Source organism: Homo sapiens, chromosome 15, assembly GCF_000001405.40.
Source record: "Homo sapiens chromosome 15, GRCh38.p14 Primary Assembly".
NCBI lineage: Eukaryota > Metazoa > Chordata > Mammalia > Primates > Hominidae > Homo > Homo sapiens.
Genome location: NC_000015.10, coordinates 25001132 through 25017482, shown reverse-complemented (window position 1 = coordinate 25017482; position 16351 = coordinate 25001132). Strand labels below are relative to the sequence as shown.

Here is a 16351-nt window from a genome sequence, read left to right as displayed (position 1 = left end):
TTGGAGTTGTATTATAGTTGCCCTGACTCTGCTCATTGTACATTGTACAAAAGGAAATAAGGTTCAATTATTATTTTTTTGAGATGGAGTCTCACCCTATTGCCCAGACTGGAGTGCAATGGCACGATCTCAGCTCACTGCAACCTCTGCCTCCCGGGTTCAAGCGATTCTCCTGCCTCAGCGTTCTGAGTAGCTGGTATTACAGGCACACACCACCACACCAGGGTGTGGTGTATTTTTAGTAGAGACAGGGTTTCACCATGTTAGCCAGGCTGGTCTTTAACTCCTGACGGTGTGATCTGCCCGCCTCAGCTTCCCAAAGTGCTGGGATTATAGGCATGAGCCACTACATGCAGCCAAGGTACAATTATCTTTAAGTTTCACCTATCTCTGGGCCAACAGTAGGTACACTGAGACTTAAGGTACAGATTACTGTGAATTACCTCATGATAGGGAGATAGCATCACTGAGACGCTGGATTTTTACCTGGGTGAGGTTTTTATTGGTTCCCACTGTGAAGGGGATAGTTTCCATTTAAGTAGAAAGTATACCTAGTTTGTGAGACCAGAAAGGTATCCTACAGTAGACACTATCAGTGTTTAACGTGTCCTTTTCATCCTTTCCTTGAGAAAACATAAAATACAGCTTCTAAATCTCCTGAAGTTTTGGAAAACCATGTGATTTACCCAATTCCTTTACCCAATTTACCATTACGTATTTAAGAGGCAATGGATGACTTTCCATAACTCTAACAAAGCCACAGTGAAAAATAAAACCTTATGCTGTCATAAAAGCAATAAGAGGTATTACTGTCTTTGTGACATCTGCCCATGAGTTACTGCCATGAGCACGCAGCATCCTTAACAGTCACTGTTGAACAGTTACTGTGAGAATCACATGATTACAATCATTACTGAGATTTGTTAATTATCCTTTCCTAAACTGACTTCATTCTTTCAAGCACATATCCGTCAAATTCATACATTCATACATTCATGTTTTTATTTTGCATTGTCAATATAGCTGTCCAAAGTTTTTGTCCTTACTACCCTTCCACTCTTGCATCAACCTATATACACATACACACACAAACATGCTTACATGCATACCACACTTCCTATTATATTTATTCTTGTTCCCTAATTCCATCAAAAATGCATTTCAGGGTCCATCCATCCATCAATCCACACATATAGTCCCATTTACGCATCATCTACTTGTGACTCCATTAATATTCCTGATCTCATACCCATTTATATACCCATTCCCGTTAATTTATCCATTCATGCTACTATTAATCCAATCATTCAATGAAGCAATTTGCCATTTATCAATTCCTCATTACCCAAGTGCTGACCAGCTGGCCAGGCAGAGCTCTGTACAGCTTGGAGTTTTACATAGTACCTTGGCTTAACTAAACTTTCTCATACTGCTGAAGATCCAATCAGCCTGTCCACAGGTCTAACTTCAAATACTCTTCATACCTTCTGACTTTACAATTGTTAAGCAGAATCTCAGGTTTCCTTTTTTTTTTTTTTTTTTTTCCAGGAGGAGTCTTGTTTTGTCACACAGGCTGGAGTGCAGTGGCACAATCTCATCTCACGGCAACCTCTGCCTTCTGGGTTCAAGTGATTCTCCTGCCTCAAGCCTCCCAAGTAGCTAGGATTACAGGCGTGCATCACCATACTCAGCTCATTTTTATATTTTTAATAGAGACAGGGTTTCGCCATGTTGACCAGGCTGGTCTTGACCTCCTGACCTCAGGTGATCCTCCCGCCTCAGCCTCCCAAAATGCTGGGATTACAGGCGTGAGGTACCATGCCTGGCCTCCTCCCGAGGAGTTTGCAACTTTGACCAAATACTTCAAAAGCTACCTCAAATCCTTCCGAAGAAATTAACAGAAGAGAGGAGGCTGGGATTTATTTGGGAACTAACCGTGCTCTCATAGAGAAAGCTTCTTCACTCACTACTCCAAGTATTTAAAAATGCTATTTTCATATTAAAGGAACTTTACCAAGAACGTCTGTTCTTCTTCCTAAGATACTGCAAACCCCCTTCTTTGTGTTACTTATTACTCCACAATAAAACCCTATTTATTTCACAACTTATTAGCTCATGCAGCGTCCCATTTTGACAAAATTCTGTTGAAAGCCCAGTACAATTTCAGTTACCGCGCAGGGCACCATTAACAAAATGGTTATCTGTTATAGTGATGAATGCACCCTGAGCACCATATTGCCATTTTTACTTCCTGTAGCCGACTTCTCCCCTATTTCTACATTATATCCAAGACATTATCACATAGTGGTATACAAACATCCATCAATCCTTCTTACTGCTACATATTACTAGGAGATGAACTATGTATTTGCCACAGATATAAATTTACAAAATATTAAATTCCTACCCATATGGTTTACATTTTACATGCCCAGAAGCAACGTATGATTTTCCATAATTCCGAACATGTTGCCAAAAAAAAAAAAATGTTGTCAAACTTCTGGACTTTTGCTAGTCTAATAGTAGAGAAACTAATTATATCTTAGTTGTATTTTCAATTGTCATTATCCTTATTATGAGCAAACCCAAGAATCCTTTTATATGATTAACAGCACTTTGTGTATTTTTTTCAGTGAACTATGTGCTCAAGTCACTTTTCCTTTGAACTGGTATTTTTCCCCGATTATATCTTACACACCAAGGGTTTCACTCTTCTTATGTGATGTCACAACTTTTTCAACTCTGTAATTTCATTTTTACTATCAATCTTTGTGTTTCTTGTTGCTTCTACAATGTGTATCATCAGTAATTTCCTCAAAATTGGAGAGAAATTCGTTTTCTGAAACTCTATAATTTCTGCAGTTAATTTAAACCTCTGATTCATTTTAAATTCTTCATGCTACATACCATGAAGATGAATCTAATTCTTTATTCATTTGGCTAACAATCTGCCCCCATGAATGCAGATTAACTTTAATACACTTTCTGTTTCTCATGTCAACTTATGGGTCTTCCATTCCATGACATTACTTTGCTTATAAATGTGCCATTAACATAACTCTAATTACATACAAGATTTTGTAAGTCTGTGATACCCGATCAAGTCACCTTCCTCATTCCCAATCTTTACAACGTCTTTGTAATTTTTTTCTCACAACAAAAGTGACAATCAAAACGTCTAGCTGTAGGAAAAATGCCTTTTAAAAAAAGATGAAATTATAAATTGACTCATAATAAAGAACAAAATTCTTCTATGTCATCCAGATTTTCCCTGAGGAACTAGAACACCCTGGAATATGTATACACTCCCATAAATAAATATATTGAATACAAAAAATAAGGCAGTTCCAAGCAACCAGTTACCGCAAAATGATTAAACAAATTGTTGTTCAAAGCGACATAATGACTAAAAATATACTGGTTTCTTTACTTGATTTGTATCTATTTTACCGTCAATTGCTAGTGCATTCCCTCTTAAGAAACATGAAAATAAATACATTCATTGTATCTCTACTCCTTTGTACTAAGACATCATGTATTCCTCTTTAGATAGGTCTTATGATGGATGTTGTGGCCAACTCTTTAAAACATACAACTAATTGATAATGAGCTTTTGCCTTTAATACAAAACAGACAAACAATACATACAAATATAGTTTAAGCTGACAATTGCGAATGTGTTCTAACAGGTATGGAGCTAGAATCTGAGCACTATAATCACTACAATGGGATACTCTGATAACCTTCCCTTCCATCTTTTATGAAGTCAACACTAAACCTGTAAAATATGGAATTACGTTTTTCTTTTTTTGGGGGGGTGGGGTGGGGAAACAGGGTCTCGCTATATTGCCCAGGCAAGTCCCAAACTCCTGGGCTCAAGCTATCCTCCTGCCTCTGGCTCCCTAAGAACTTGGATTACAGGCGTAAGCCACTTTTTCTTGGAGGAGAGGGGAAGGGAGGTGATGGAATTTCTCTATGTTTATTACTTTTTCCCATACATGCTGTTTTATTTTCCAAAGTATAAATGTGCTACTTTTATAATCAGGGAAGAATTACTAAATGTTCAATCATTAGATACCTGAGTTATAATATTTTTCTCTTTTTGTCAGGGAAGAATTACTAAATGTTCAATCATTAGATACCCGAGTTATAATTATTTTTGTTTTTTTTGGCAGAGTGAATACTGTAATTACATAATTTCATAATACTTTTTACCTACACAAATACAAAACAAACAGTAATGGTTTCTACACAAAATAGTATTATGAAATAAAAAGCTTCCAAATGTTACTTGAATGGAAACTGAATAGCCTTTTATATTTCAATATTTAAATAGGAAAACATTTACCTCACACTCATATCCCCTCTTCCCTTCAAATCATATTCCTTATGGAGGCTCACACCTCTCTAATTCTAGCACTTTGGGAAGCCGAGGCAGGTGGATCACCTGAGGTCAGGAGTTCAAGACCAGCCTGGCCAACATGGTGAAACCCTGTCTCTACTAAGAATATAAAAATTAGCTGGGCATGGTGGTACATGCTTAAAATCCCAGCTACTTGGGAGGCTGAGGTGGGATGATGGCTTGAACCCTGGTGTCAGAGGCTACAGTGAGCCAAGATTGTGCCACTGCATTCCAGTCTGGGGAAGAGAGTCAGACTCCATCTCAAATAAATAAATATAAATAAATACATAAGTAAATAAGTACACACAACTGGGATAAAAATAAATTTTATGGGCCGGGCGTGGTAGCTCATGCCTGTAATCCTAACACTTTGGGAGGCTGAGGCGGGCAAATCACCTGAGGTCAGGAGTTTGAGACTAGCCTGACCAACATACGAAACTCTGACTCTACTAAAAATAAAAAAATTAGCCGGGCGTGGTGGCACTTATCTGTAATCCCAGCTGCTTGGGAGGCTGGGCAGGAGAATCGCTTGCAACCGGGAGCTGGAGGTTGTGGTGATGCGAGATCGTGCCATTGCACTCCAGCCTGTGCAACAAGAGCAAAACTCCATCTCAAAAATAAAATAAAATATAAAATATAAAATATAAAATAAAAAATAAATGTTATGTCCGGGTGTGGAGGCTCATGCCTATAATTCCAGTAGTATGAGAGGCCAAGGCAGGTTAATCACTTGAGCTCAGTAGTTCAAGACCAGCCTGGCCAACATGGTGAAAACCTGACCCTACTAAAAAATATATACATAGACATTAGTCAGATGTGGTGGTGCACGCCTGTAGTCCCAGCTACTTGGGAGGCTGAGGCAGGAGAATCACTTGAACCTGGGAGGTGGAGGCTGTGAGCTGACATCATGCCTCTGCACTCCAGCCTGGGCGACAGAGTGAGACCCTGTCTCAGATAAATAAATTTTATAAAGCATAACACAGCCAAACTACAAGCTACAGAGATTGTACATACATTTGAATAAACATGAAATAGAAAAATAATTACAAATATATATTACCTGTTATATTCTACCATGTGTTTACATGCAGAAACTGTTTTTTAATTATGCTATTAGCATTATCACCTTTAAAATATAACTTCAAATATTCAAATCTCCTGAAAATGCTTTCTGTCTTCTGAATAAAGAACATGAATTTAAAAACTAGTCACCTTTGAAGATTACTTGCACATCAATTCATTATTATATAAATGGTAAGATAAGGGAAAAAACATTTATTTACCTTTCCTTTTGAACTGAAATCCCAAAAAAGTTGATTAAGTTCCTATTTAAATGAAGAACTTATCATTCAGAGTAAATTTACTGATACTTAGAGCAAATGTATAACTATTAGTGAAATGAGAGACTATTGTGTTTTTGTAAAAAGCAGGTGATAAAATACTTAATGATTCTCAATATCACAAAATATATATGAAAATATCATGATAAATTAGTGTTCTTCTGTTTTACAAAAGGTGTTCATATAATAAATGGCTGAATTAATGATTTGATAAAACTAGTCAGACAAAAAATCAGATCTTGAGAATATAATACATTGAGAAAAATGTCTCAATGTTGAATATTTTTTTAAAAAAATGATAGAAAATATTAAACACCGAAACACTGAGAAAAAACTATTAAACATGACCACAGGGGTGGCATCCTACTATGGGCACAATGTAGAAATGTGAAAGTTTTATATCGCAAATAACTCATTTCCTCAAAGAGAAAACAGCAAGAAACAAATATTAAAAACCAAGAGCTCAAAGATTAACCAATCAAATGAAATGTAATGCATAATTCTTCTGGTGCTCATTTAAACATACATAAGACAGAGTGGAGTAAGATTTATCAAAAAGATTTCATAGATGGTACTACCTCCTTTGTAATATACATTAAGTAATTTTTAGTTGTTAATAATTTTTACCAGATAGCATGAGGATTAGGCTTAAAAGGACTGGTATCTCCAAACCTTAATATAAAATACATTGAGAAGAAATCACAAAAGAAAACCAGCAATTAGTTGATATTTACTGGGTAAGAGATGACTTTTTTTCAAAAAATCAAAGTACGTTATCAGATTATATTTGCAAAACTTTTAAGAAATTTCATTAGCATGATCTCATGAAAAACTGAAAGCATGACCAGGTCAGGACACCATATTAATGGGAAAAATAACATCAAAGACTAAAAATGTCTCTAATATAATGACAAATATAGAAATATGTAACAAGTTTATAGCAGACCTTGCCAACTATTACTTATGAAGATCTACACATGTAAGGTAATATACCTAATATACCTTTCCAAGCACCCCTTACAAATATGGACTGTACTTTTGTTATACAAGAATTCAGACTATGTATTGTGTATACACAATATATATTTTGGACCACAGTAGCTCACCAAAACTCATTCAGAATACTAAAAATAAAGGGTAGAATCAATCCCCCCAAAAAAACCAGCAAATAAGAAATCCAGTAGAATATGAAAGTTACTTCTAAATAATGTTTTTAATTCAAGATTTTTTTAAAAATTACTTAAATATAGAACCAAAAAAGGGTTGACTTTCATACCTTAATTAAGAGAGATTTAAGATTGAATATAAATTAATACAGTCAAGACTAACATAAAAATAGCCTAGATAAAAGTGAATTACTCACTTGGATCCAGATTTGCTCAAAAAACTGTTGTATCATTCGCACAACTGAGAATTTTTTATATTTTTGAGCCAATGTTTCACTCTGTTACCCAGCCTGGAGTTCAGTGTTGTGATTGTAGCCTACTGCTTAAGTGATCCTCCTGCTTCAGCTTCTGAAATAATTGGGTTCACAAGTGCATGCCACCATACCTCATTTTTTTTTTTTCCTGTGAAAACAGGTTTCACTATTTGCCTACGCTCATCTGGAACTCCTGGGCTCAAGCAAAATGCCTTGGCCTCCAAAAATGCTATGATTGCAGGCTTGAGACACCATGCACAACCTTGAGAAATTTAAATGAGAATTGTTTTTTCTTTGTGTGTTTAGAAGACACATAAGGGATTTTAGTAAATTTTACTAGGTAGAGATAGGATATTGTGATTATTTTAAAAATTGATACATAAAAATATAAACCTATTCAGGATTAAATCACCATGGTAACTGTAATTTTCAAAATATGGCAAAATGTTCATAGTTATTAACTCTAGTTGCTAGATATGAGAAGGTTCATTATTCAGTTCTCATTTTTGGTGACTTCAATTTCTCATAATAAATAACAAATATTTCCTCAAAAAGTGAGTTCATTAAATTACCACATAACTCAGCAATTTCATTCCCCTATATACATAATCAGATACGAAGACATGAACTCAGATATTTGTATGCCAATGCTCACTCAAATATTAATGGACATATTTTTAAATGTATTCATCTCTTAATGGACACTGTGAATGTTTTGGTGAGCACTGGCATATAAAATGTCCATTAGCAGAGGAATAGATTTAAAATTCTATCCATTAGCAGATGGATAAAAATTGTGTTATATGTGTATACACACACACTCATGTATACACACATGTATACATACACAAAATGGATTTACTCGGTCATAATAAGAAATGAAGTTCTCATGTATTACATGAAACTTGAAAGCATTAGGTAAAATAGGCCAGGAACCAAAAAACACATGCTATGTGATTCAACTTGTAAGAAATACCTACAATAGGCAAAATCAAATGCAGAAAACATGATTGGGGAGACAAGGGACTAGGGATTAGAGTAACAGGTATAGAGTTTCCAATTAAGATGACAAAAGTTTTGAATATGGTGTTAGTTACACAACACTGTGAGTGCATTTAATGCTAATGAGTAGTACAATTAAATCTGGTTAATATGGCAAATTTTATGTGATGCATAAACTATCACAACTGAAAAGCAACAAAATTATAGAACACAACTTTCATTGATAATCAGAAAGTATAAATGGGCAGATTCATTTCACTACTGTAAAACAAGCTGGGCACAGTGACTCACGCCTAGAATCCCAGGACGTTGTGAGGCTGAGACTGGGGGAATGCTTGAGTGCAGAACTCCGAGATGAGGCTATGCAATGTAGTAAGACCCCATCTCTTTAAAAAAGAAACATTATTCGGGCATGTCCATAGTCCCAGCTACTCAGAAGGCTGAGGCAAGAGGGTCCCTTGGGCCCAACAAGTCGAGGCTGCAGTGAGCTATGATAGTGCCACTGCACTACAGCCTGGGAGACAGAATGAGAAACTGTATCCATACAAAAACAAAACAAACAAACTAAAAAACTGGTGAGCTGAGGATTCTGGGAGTATGGCAGAGCAGGACGCAACAGAACTCTTTCTCCCCCTGAGATGATAAATACACCAGAATAATCGGTATGATATAACTGGTTTGGAACTCTGGAGGATTGTATTAACCCTAAATTCAGATTTATTGAGGTTAATTTCACTCAACATCAACTCTTAGCAAAGTACAAATTACCTATCCCTAACTCCTACACCCTCACGCAAGGTAGCTGTACACATTTCTTGGACAACTTACATACAGCTTGCAGAAGGAGTGATGGTAGGCATAAACAAAAAACAAAACACACCACTCTGTTATACAAACATTGAGAGGCTGTGCTCTCATCAGTTTACCACTTCTGATCTCAAAGATGGTAAGACAGGTAAGCAGCTTTTAAAACAACTGTCTTAAAGTTGCTCAAAGAACTAAAGGAAGTGATAGAGAAGGTTAAGAAAATGATGCATGAGCAAAATGGAAGGATCAATAATCAAAAATAAAAAAACTTTCAAAAAGGAACCCCAAATGAAATTCTGGAACATGAAACATTCAATTAACTGAAATGAAAAATTTTCTACAGGGATTCAAATGCATTATCTCAGCAGGCAACAAAAAAGATCAGCAAACTTCAGAATTTTATCAATTCTGAGGAACAAAAAGAAAAAATATTGAAGAAAGGTAAGAGTCTAAACAGCTTCTGGTCCACCACCCAAGCTAACCAATACAAACGATGCAGGATTCCCAGAAAAGAGAAAGCATGCAATAGAAAGAATATCTGAAGAAATTCTAGATGGAAACTTCTCAAATTTGATGAAAGACATGAATTCTAACATCTAAGAACCTCAACAAACTCCAAGCAAGATGAACTCAAAGACCCACAATGAGACACAATATCTTTCAACTATGAAGAGCAAAAGAGAAAGAATTCTGAAAGCAACAATAGAAAAACGATATCATGTAACAGGGATTATCAGTCAATTTCTCATAAGGCCAGAAGGTAGTGGACTGACACATTCAATGTGCTAAAAAAAAAAAAATACTCAACTAAGAATCTAATATCCAACAAAACTGTTAATTAAAAAGTAAGGGAGAAATTGATACGTTCCCAGATGTACAAACAACAGGAGTTTGTTTACATTAGATCTGCTCCCCCACCAAACAGAAACACTGAAAAGACTCCTGAAGGTTGAAATAAATAGTAAATGGAAGCCCTATAAAGAAATAAAGATGTGGTTAAAGGTAAATAATTGAGCAATTATGAGAGGTTAATAATGGTGTACTGTCCCTCCACTTGTTTTTCATTATGAAACAGGCTCTGATTCTGTTGCACAGGCTAAAATGCAGTGGCATCATCATGGCTCACCGTAGCCTCAACCTTCAGGGATCAAGAGACCCTTGCATCTCAGCTTCCTGAGTATCTGGGACTACAGGAATATGCCACCATACCCAGCTATTTTTTGTTGTTAAAATTTGTTTTGTAGAGACAGCCTCTTGCTATGTTGCACAGGCTGGTCTCAAACTCCTGGTCTCAAGCAATCCTCCTTCCTTAGCCTCCCAAAGTGCTGGGTATTACAGGCATGAGCTACTATGCCCAGCCTGTTGCCTTTTTTAGATTCTACATGACTTGAATTGATCAATTATAAAACCACACATTAGGCAAAAAACCAGTAAATATTATTGTAACTTTGATTATAACTCTACAAGTTATCTTCTAAAAAATTTAACAAAAAATAAATTTTACAAAATATATTTTGGGCCGGGTGTGGTGGCTCAAGCCTGTAATCCCAGCACTTTGGGAGGCCGAGGCGGGCGGATCACAAGGTCAGGAGATCAAGATCATCCTGGCTAACATGGTGAAACCCCGTCTCTACTAAAAATACAAAAAAATTAGCCAGGCGTGGTGGCGAGCACCTGTAGTCCCAGCTACTCGGGAGGCTAAGGAAGGAGAATGGCATGAACCCTGGAGGCGGATCTTGCAGTGAGCCCAGATCACGCCACTGCACTCCAGCCTGGGTGACAGAGCAAGACTCCATCTCAAATATATATATATATTTTGATACACAATGTTAAACATATAATTTTGTAGCATCAACTGAAAGGGGTAGGAGAGAAGGTGTTACAGAAGCAGTTATTTTGTAGACTGCTTAAGTCAGACAAAACAGACTTTTAATCCAAAATGTTACAACAAACAAAAATGTACATTATACATTAATAAAAATTACAAGATAAAGATGACCAACATTTATGATCCTAGTAAACCATCAAAATATATGAAACAAAAATTGACATAAAAGAAGGGAGAAATAGACATTTCCTCACTAAGAAATATAGACTTCAAGAACCTACTCTCAATGATGGGTAGAATAACCAGAAAACAAGAAAATAGAGGTGTGGGCCAGGTGTGGTGGCTCACGCCTGTAATCCCAGCACTTTGGGAGGCCGAGGCAGGTGGATCACAAGGTCAGGAGTTTGAGACCACCCTGGCCAACATGGCAAAACCCTGTCTCTACCAAAAATACAAAAATTAACCAGGTGTGGTGGCAGGCACCTGTAATCCCAGCCACTTGGGAGGCTGAGGCAGGAGACTCGCCTGAATCTGGGAGGCAGAGGTTGCAGTGAGCCGAGATCACACCACTGCACTCCAGCCTGGGGGATAGAGCCAGACTCTGTCTCACCCCTCACCCCACAAAAAAAGAGAAAATAGAAGTGTGTAATATCACAATAAATCAATTATATCTAACAGATATGCACACAACAATCTCTGAACAACAAAATGCACACTCCCCTTCAAGTGCATGAGATATTTTTCACAACAAATGTAGTTAATTCACAAATTCAGTCTCAATAAATTTTGAAAAAACAGACAGAAAAAGAAGCCTCTTCTCTGACCACAGCAAGACAATGAATTTAGAAATCAGTAACAGAAGGAAAGCCTTGGAAAAGTCACACATTTGTGGACATGAGAAAACACAAACAACTAGTACACCAAGAGGTTATAAGGAAAATTAGAAAATATGTGGGAATGAATGAAAATGAAAATAAAACATGTTTTCTTATGAATCTTACACCTATTAATGTAACATGAAAAAAAATTTCAAATCAACCAACTGTACAAATTAAAGAATTACACAAGCAAAGTAAACACAAAGAGGAAAAGGAAGGACATAAAGAATGATATAGAGATGAATAAAACAGAAAATGAACACAAAATAACCACTTGGTTCTTCATAAACAAAAATCAAGAAAACTGACAAAGCTTCAGCTAAGTGGACTAGAAAAAAAGAGGGCAGACTCAAATTGCTACCATCAGAAACATAAAGTCTACAGAACTAAGAGATTGTAAGAGTACTATAAGCAAGTGAATGTTAAAAAATTAGATAATCTAGATGAAATGTACAAATTCCTACAAACCTAGGAAACTAAAGGCCACCAAAACAAAACCACACGCATGAAACTATTAACAGTACTGAATTATTAATGAAAAATCTTCCGGTCAGGCGCAGTGGCTCACACCTGTAAACCCAGCACTCTGGGAGGCTGAGGCGGGCGAATCACAAGGTCAGGAGATCGAGACCATCCTGCCTAACATGGTGAAACCCCATCTCTACTTAATATACACAAAATTAGCCGGGTGTGGTGGCGGGCACCTGTAGTCCCAGCTACTTGGGAGGCTGAGGCAGGAGAATGGCGTGAACCCGGGAGGTGGAGCTTGCAGTGAGCAGAGATCGCGCCACTGCACTCCAGCCTGGGGCGACAGAGCGTGACTCAGTCTCAAAAAAAAAAAAAAAAAAAATCTTCCATCAAATAAATACTTATATAACAAATAACAAGTGTTTTCAAACTTTTCTAAGAAATTCAAGGAGGAAACACTCCCCAACACATTTTATGGGGCCAGCATTACCCTCTTACCAAAGCAAGACAAAGACTAAGGAATAAAAAATTCAACATTCATCAAATTAGGAATAGATGAAATCACATCACCATAGTAAAAGCTATAAATGAAAAACTCAAAACAAACATTATTCTCAAAGGTTAAACACTAAAAGGATTTCCTCTAGTATCAGTTACAAAAGCAAGGATGCCTGCTTTCGCCACTTCTTTTCAACACAGTATTACAAATCCTTGCCACAGCAATCAAGTAACAAAAAGAAAGAAATGACACCCAAGTCAGAAAAGAAGTAGAAGTATCTCTCTTGGCATCCACTAAAATTTTATAGGCTGGTCGGGCACAGTGACTCACACCTGTAATTGCAGCACTTTTGGAGGCCAAGGGAGGAGGATCACTTGAGCTCAGGAGTTCGAGACCAGCCTGGCCAACACGATGAAACCCCATCTCTACTAAAAACACAAAAATTAGCCAGGCGTGGTGGCAGACACGTGTAATCCCACCTACTCAGGAGGCTGAGGCAGGAGAATTGTTCAAACCTGGGAGATAGTGCCATTGCACTCCAGCCTGGGCAACAGTGAGACTATGTCTCCAAAAAAATTATTACGGGCTAAAATTTTCCTTGGGAGCATAAAAAAAAATCTCAGAACTGATAAATTCCACAAAATACCAGGCTACAAATTCAGCATGCAAAAATAGCAATGAACAATTCACAAAAGAAGTTCAAAGAACAATTCCACTTGCAATAGCATTTTAAAAATACAATACTTAGAAAGTAACTTAACCAGTAAGATCAAAGAAAATTTTTTGTACAATGAAATTTACAAACCATTTCTGAAAGAAATAAATGACATAAATAAAAAGACATCCCATGTTCATGGACTGGAAGAGTTAGTATTGTTTATGTCAATAATACTCATGCAATGTGCAGACTCAATCCCTAGTAAACTTCCCATGACATTTTTTGCAAAAATTAAAAAAAAAATCCTAAAACTCATACAGAGTTTCAAAGGACTGAAATGAGCAAAATAAACCTGAAAAAGAACAAAGGTGGAAGAGTCACAGTTCTCAATTTCAAAATGTTAACTACAAAGCTACAATTATCAAAACAGTGTGATATTGGCATAAAGAAAAACACAAAGAACAAGGAAACAGAAAAAAGGGTTCCAAAAAACACATGCTTGCATAAATGCTTAGTTGATTTTGGACAAAAGATAAATAACTTTAAAAAAAAAAACACGCTATTATTTCAACACCTTTTTAAGCCAACATTTCAAAATAATTAAAGAAAAATATTACTTGTTTCTAGTCTGTGTCAGAAATACTCAAAATGGTTTCAAAGAGCCAGTAAAACATTAAAAACCTCTGATAACAGAACAAGTATAAAGCTGTTTGTTTAGGAATCATTTCAGAAATTCCAAATGAAATTATAACAACTATAATTAAGGAGTATATACTAAAATATAATTTACTTCATTCATGGGATGGAATAATGTTCAATTTTGGAATATGTTAATTTTAACCTTAATAATTATAAGGACAAGTTTTTCAACTATACAAAAAGAAATTTTATTAAACCTGTCACCAAATTTGGTAAAACATCTTTCTTCTAAAAGATTACTAAAATACCAATAAGAACAAAAACAACCATGACCTAAGGGGATTGCAATTAACAGTCCAATTGCCAAGTATACTTTCTACTTCCATATATCCTAGAAGTACTTACAAATGTACTTTAATCAAGGTAATTAAAATGACAGATTGTTCAAGAAAGTCATAATTTTAGAAATTCAGTAAAGATTACTAGAAAAGACATACAAAAAGTTTTCACATACCAATTAGACAAGTTGAATGACTAATCCAAATCACTAAATTAACAAATAACTAAAAAATGCCTAGTATTAAAAAATACTTTAAAAAACTGCACTAGCAATATCCCCAAATTATTATTCCATTAAAAATAGAAAGACCTACCTTGCAGTTGGACAGAAGACTCAATTTTAAAGATATCTATTCTCTCCTAATTAATCTATTAAATTTGTTGCAAATGAAATTAATACTGCATTTTTTTCCAACTTGCAAAAATAATTGTAAGCGTCAATTGATAGAAAAAAATGCAAGTATACAGAGGGAATATTCTGAAAAAGAAGAGAAATGAGATAGAACTCAATGGAATAGATAAGACAGTATAAATCATTAGTAATTATTAAAGTGTCAATAAAATGGTAAGGCAAGTTAACAGAAATGTAGCCAATTTTACCTGGAAATTTTCTTTATGGTAGAACTTAACAGATAACTACACGGGTCAAAGTGAGTACTTTAAATATTTAATGCATTCATTAACACCAGAATGATGATTAATGGAAAAAGAAATGACAAACTAACTGCTGAAATAGAAGGCAATACAAATAAATGATACCAATGTAAACATGTTTTAAAAAACCACAAAACTCCAAAGTCATAAAACAGAACAAGATTATATTTCAATATACAACTTCTGTATAACCAAAAAATAAAACACCATAGTAAAATGAATGAGAAAAAACATATTTGCAATTCTAGACAAAATGTTAACATGTTTAATCATAAATGAACTCTTCAGAAATCAGTACAAAGAGACTAACATTACAAGGGAAGTGAAAATAAAAGGAACAGAGGAAAATGGAATAGCACAAATGAGTTATAAGGCTATATGAAGATGATGTAGTTAACATTAATAGCTGATAAAGCAATTTCATTATAAATTATATTATCGATCCTTACAAATATTGATTATCTGATGTTTGTACAGCTTTAGGAAATAAAGAATACTCAAATACTGTGGAAACTTACTAGAGTCATGGGGAGTTTACTCAAAAATGTAGATTTTTGTATAAACTTGGCCCCAGCAGTTCCAAACCACAGGAATCTGTCCAACAAAGTAATTAGACACACACCCACACACATACACATACATGTTTACTACATAGAAAATGTATAAGTAATGTATCATCCCCCAAAAACTACTTATGTTATCAACTGGTTTATAAAAAATTGGCTGTGGGGTAGAAGCAGAGAAAAGGCACTTAAGTAAAAATACTACATTTCACAAAATTCTATGTCCTTTGAATTCTTATGAAACATTTTTAATGAATCAATTTTATATTTACCCTGTGATTAGTGAAAATTATAAATATATGCACTTCATACTTATGAAAGCACTGAGATGAAGCCCTTTAAGTTCCACTATCCTGATTTCTTTGTTCAATAATGTCTGTCATTCCAGCTCCTGAGATATGATCCAACAGCAACCATGAAAACAATCATCGTGCCTACTTAAAATTCACTTCAATGACACTCTTTAGGTCACTTTCCAAAAGTGAGTTTTCTCAGTTTTTTACATCTGCAAGGAGTGTCCACTGAAACAAACATGAAGAATGTCTCCATACGTCATAAAAAGCATTTTTAGATTTTGGTGAAAATGATGGTACAAATAGTGGCACAGTTTCCCTTTTTCAGTCATCACCTGAGAGACACAGTTGGGAAAATGGGAAAAGGTTAGAAGCAAAGTTTATATCATCAGCAAGAACTAATAAAATTTGTCTGTAAAATGACATGCAACATTCATTCTATTATGAAGAAAGAGCATGTGGATCAAAATTCCTTTTGGAGTATTCTAATAATAAAGGAGGTCAGATGTTAGCTCTTTCCTTCTTTTTTGTTGTTGTTGTTGTTTGTTTTTCTTGAGATGG

At 35.5% G+C, this 16351-nt stretch overlaps 1 long non-coding RNA gene across 1 annotated transcript in view; it reads right to left on the bottom strand.

Annotated features, from left to right (window-relative positions):
• Positions 1 to 16351, bottom strand: part of SNHG14 (small nucleolar RNA host gene 14) — a 595855-nt gene that overhangs the window by 401980 nt on the left and 177524 nt on the right. The window contains exons 19-20 of the long non-coding RNA NR_146177.1: positions 15770 to 16125; positions 14595 to 14758 (exon numbers count right to left, since the gene is read on the bottom strand). This is a non-coding gene — a long non-coding RNA (small nucleolar RNA host gene 14). The remainder of the gene's footprint in view (positions 1 to 14594; positions 14759 to 15769; positions 16126 to 16351) is intronic.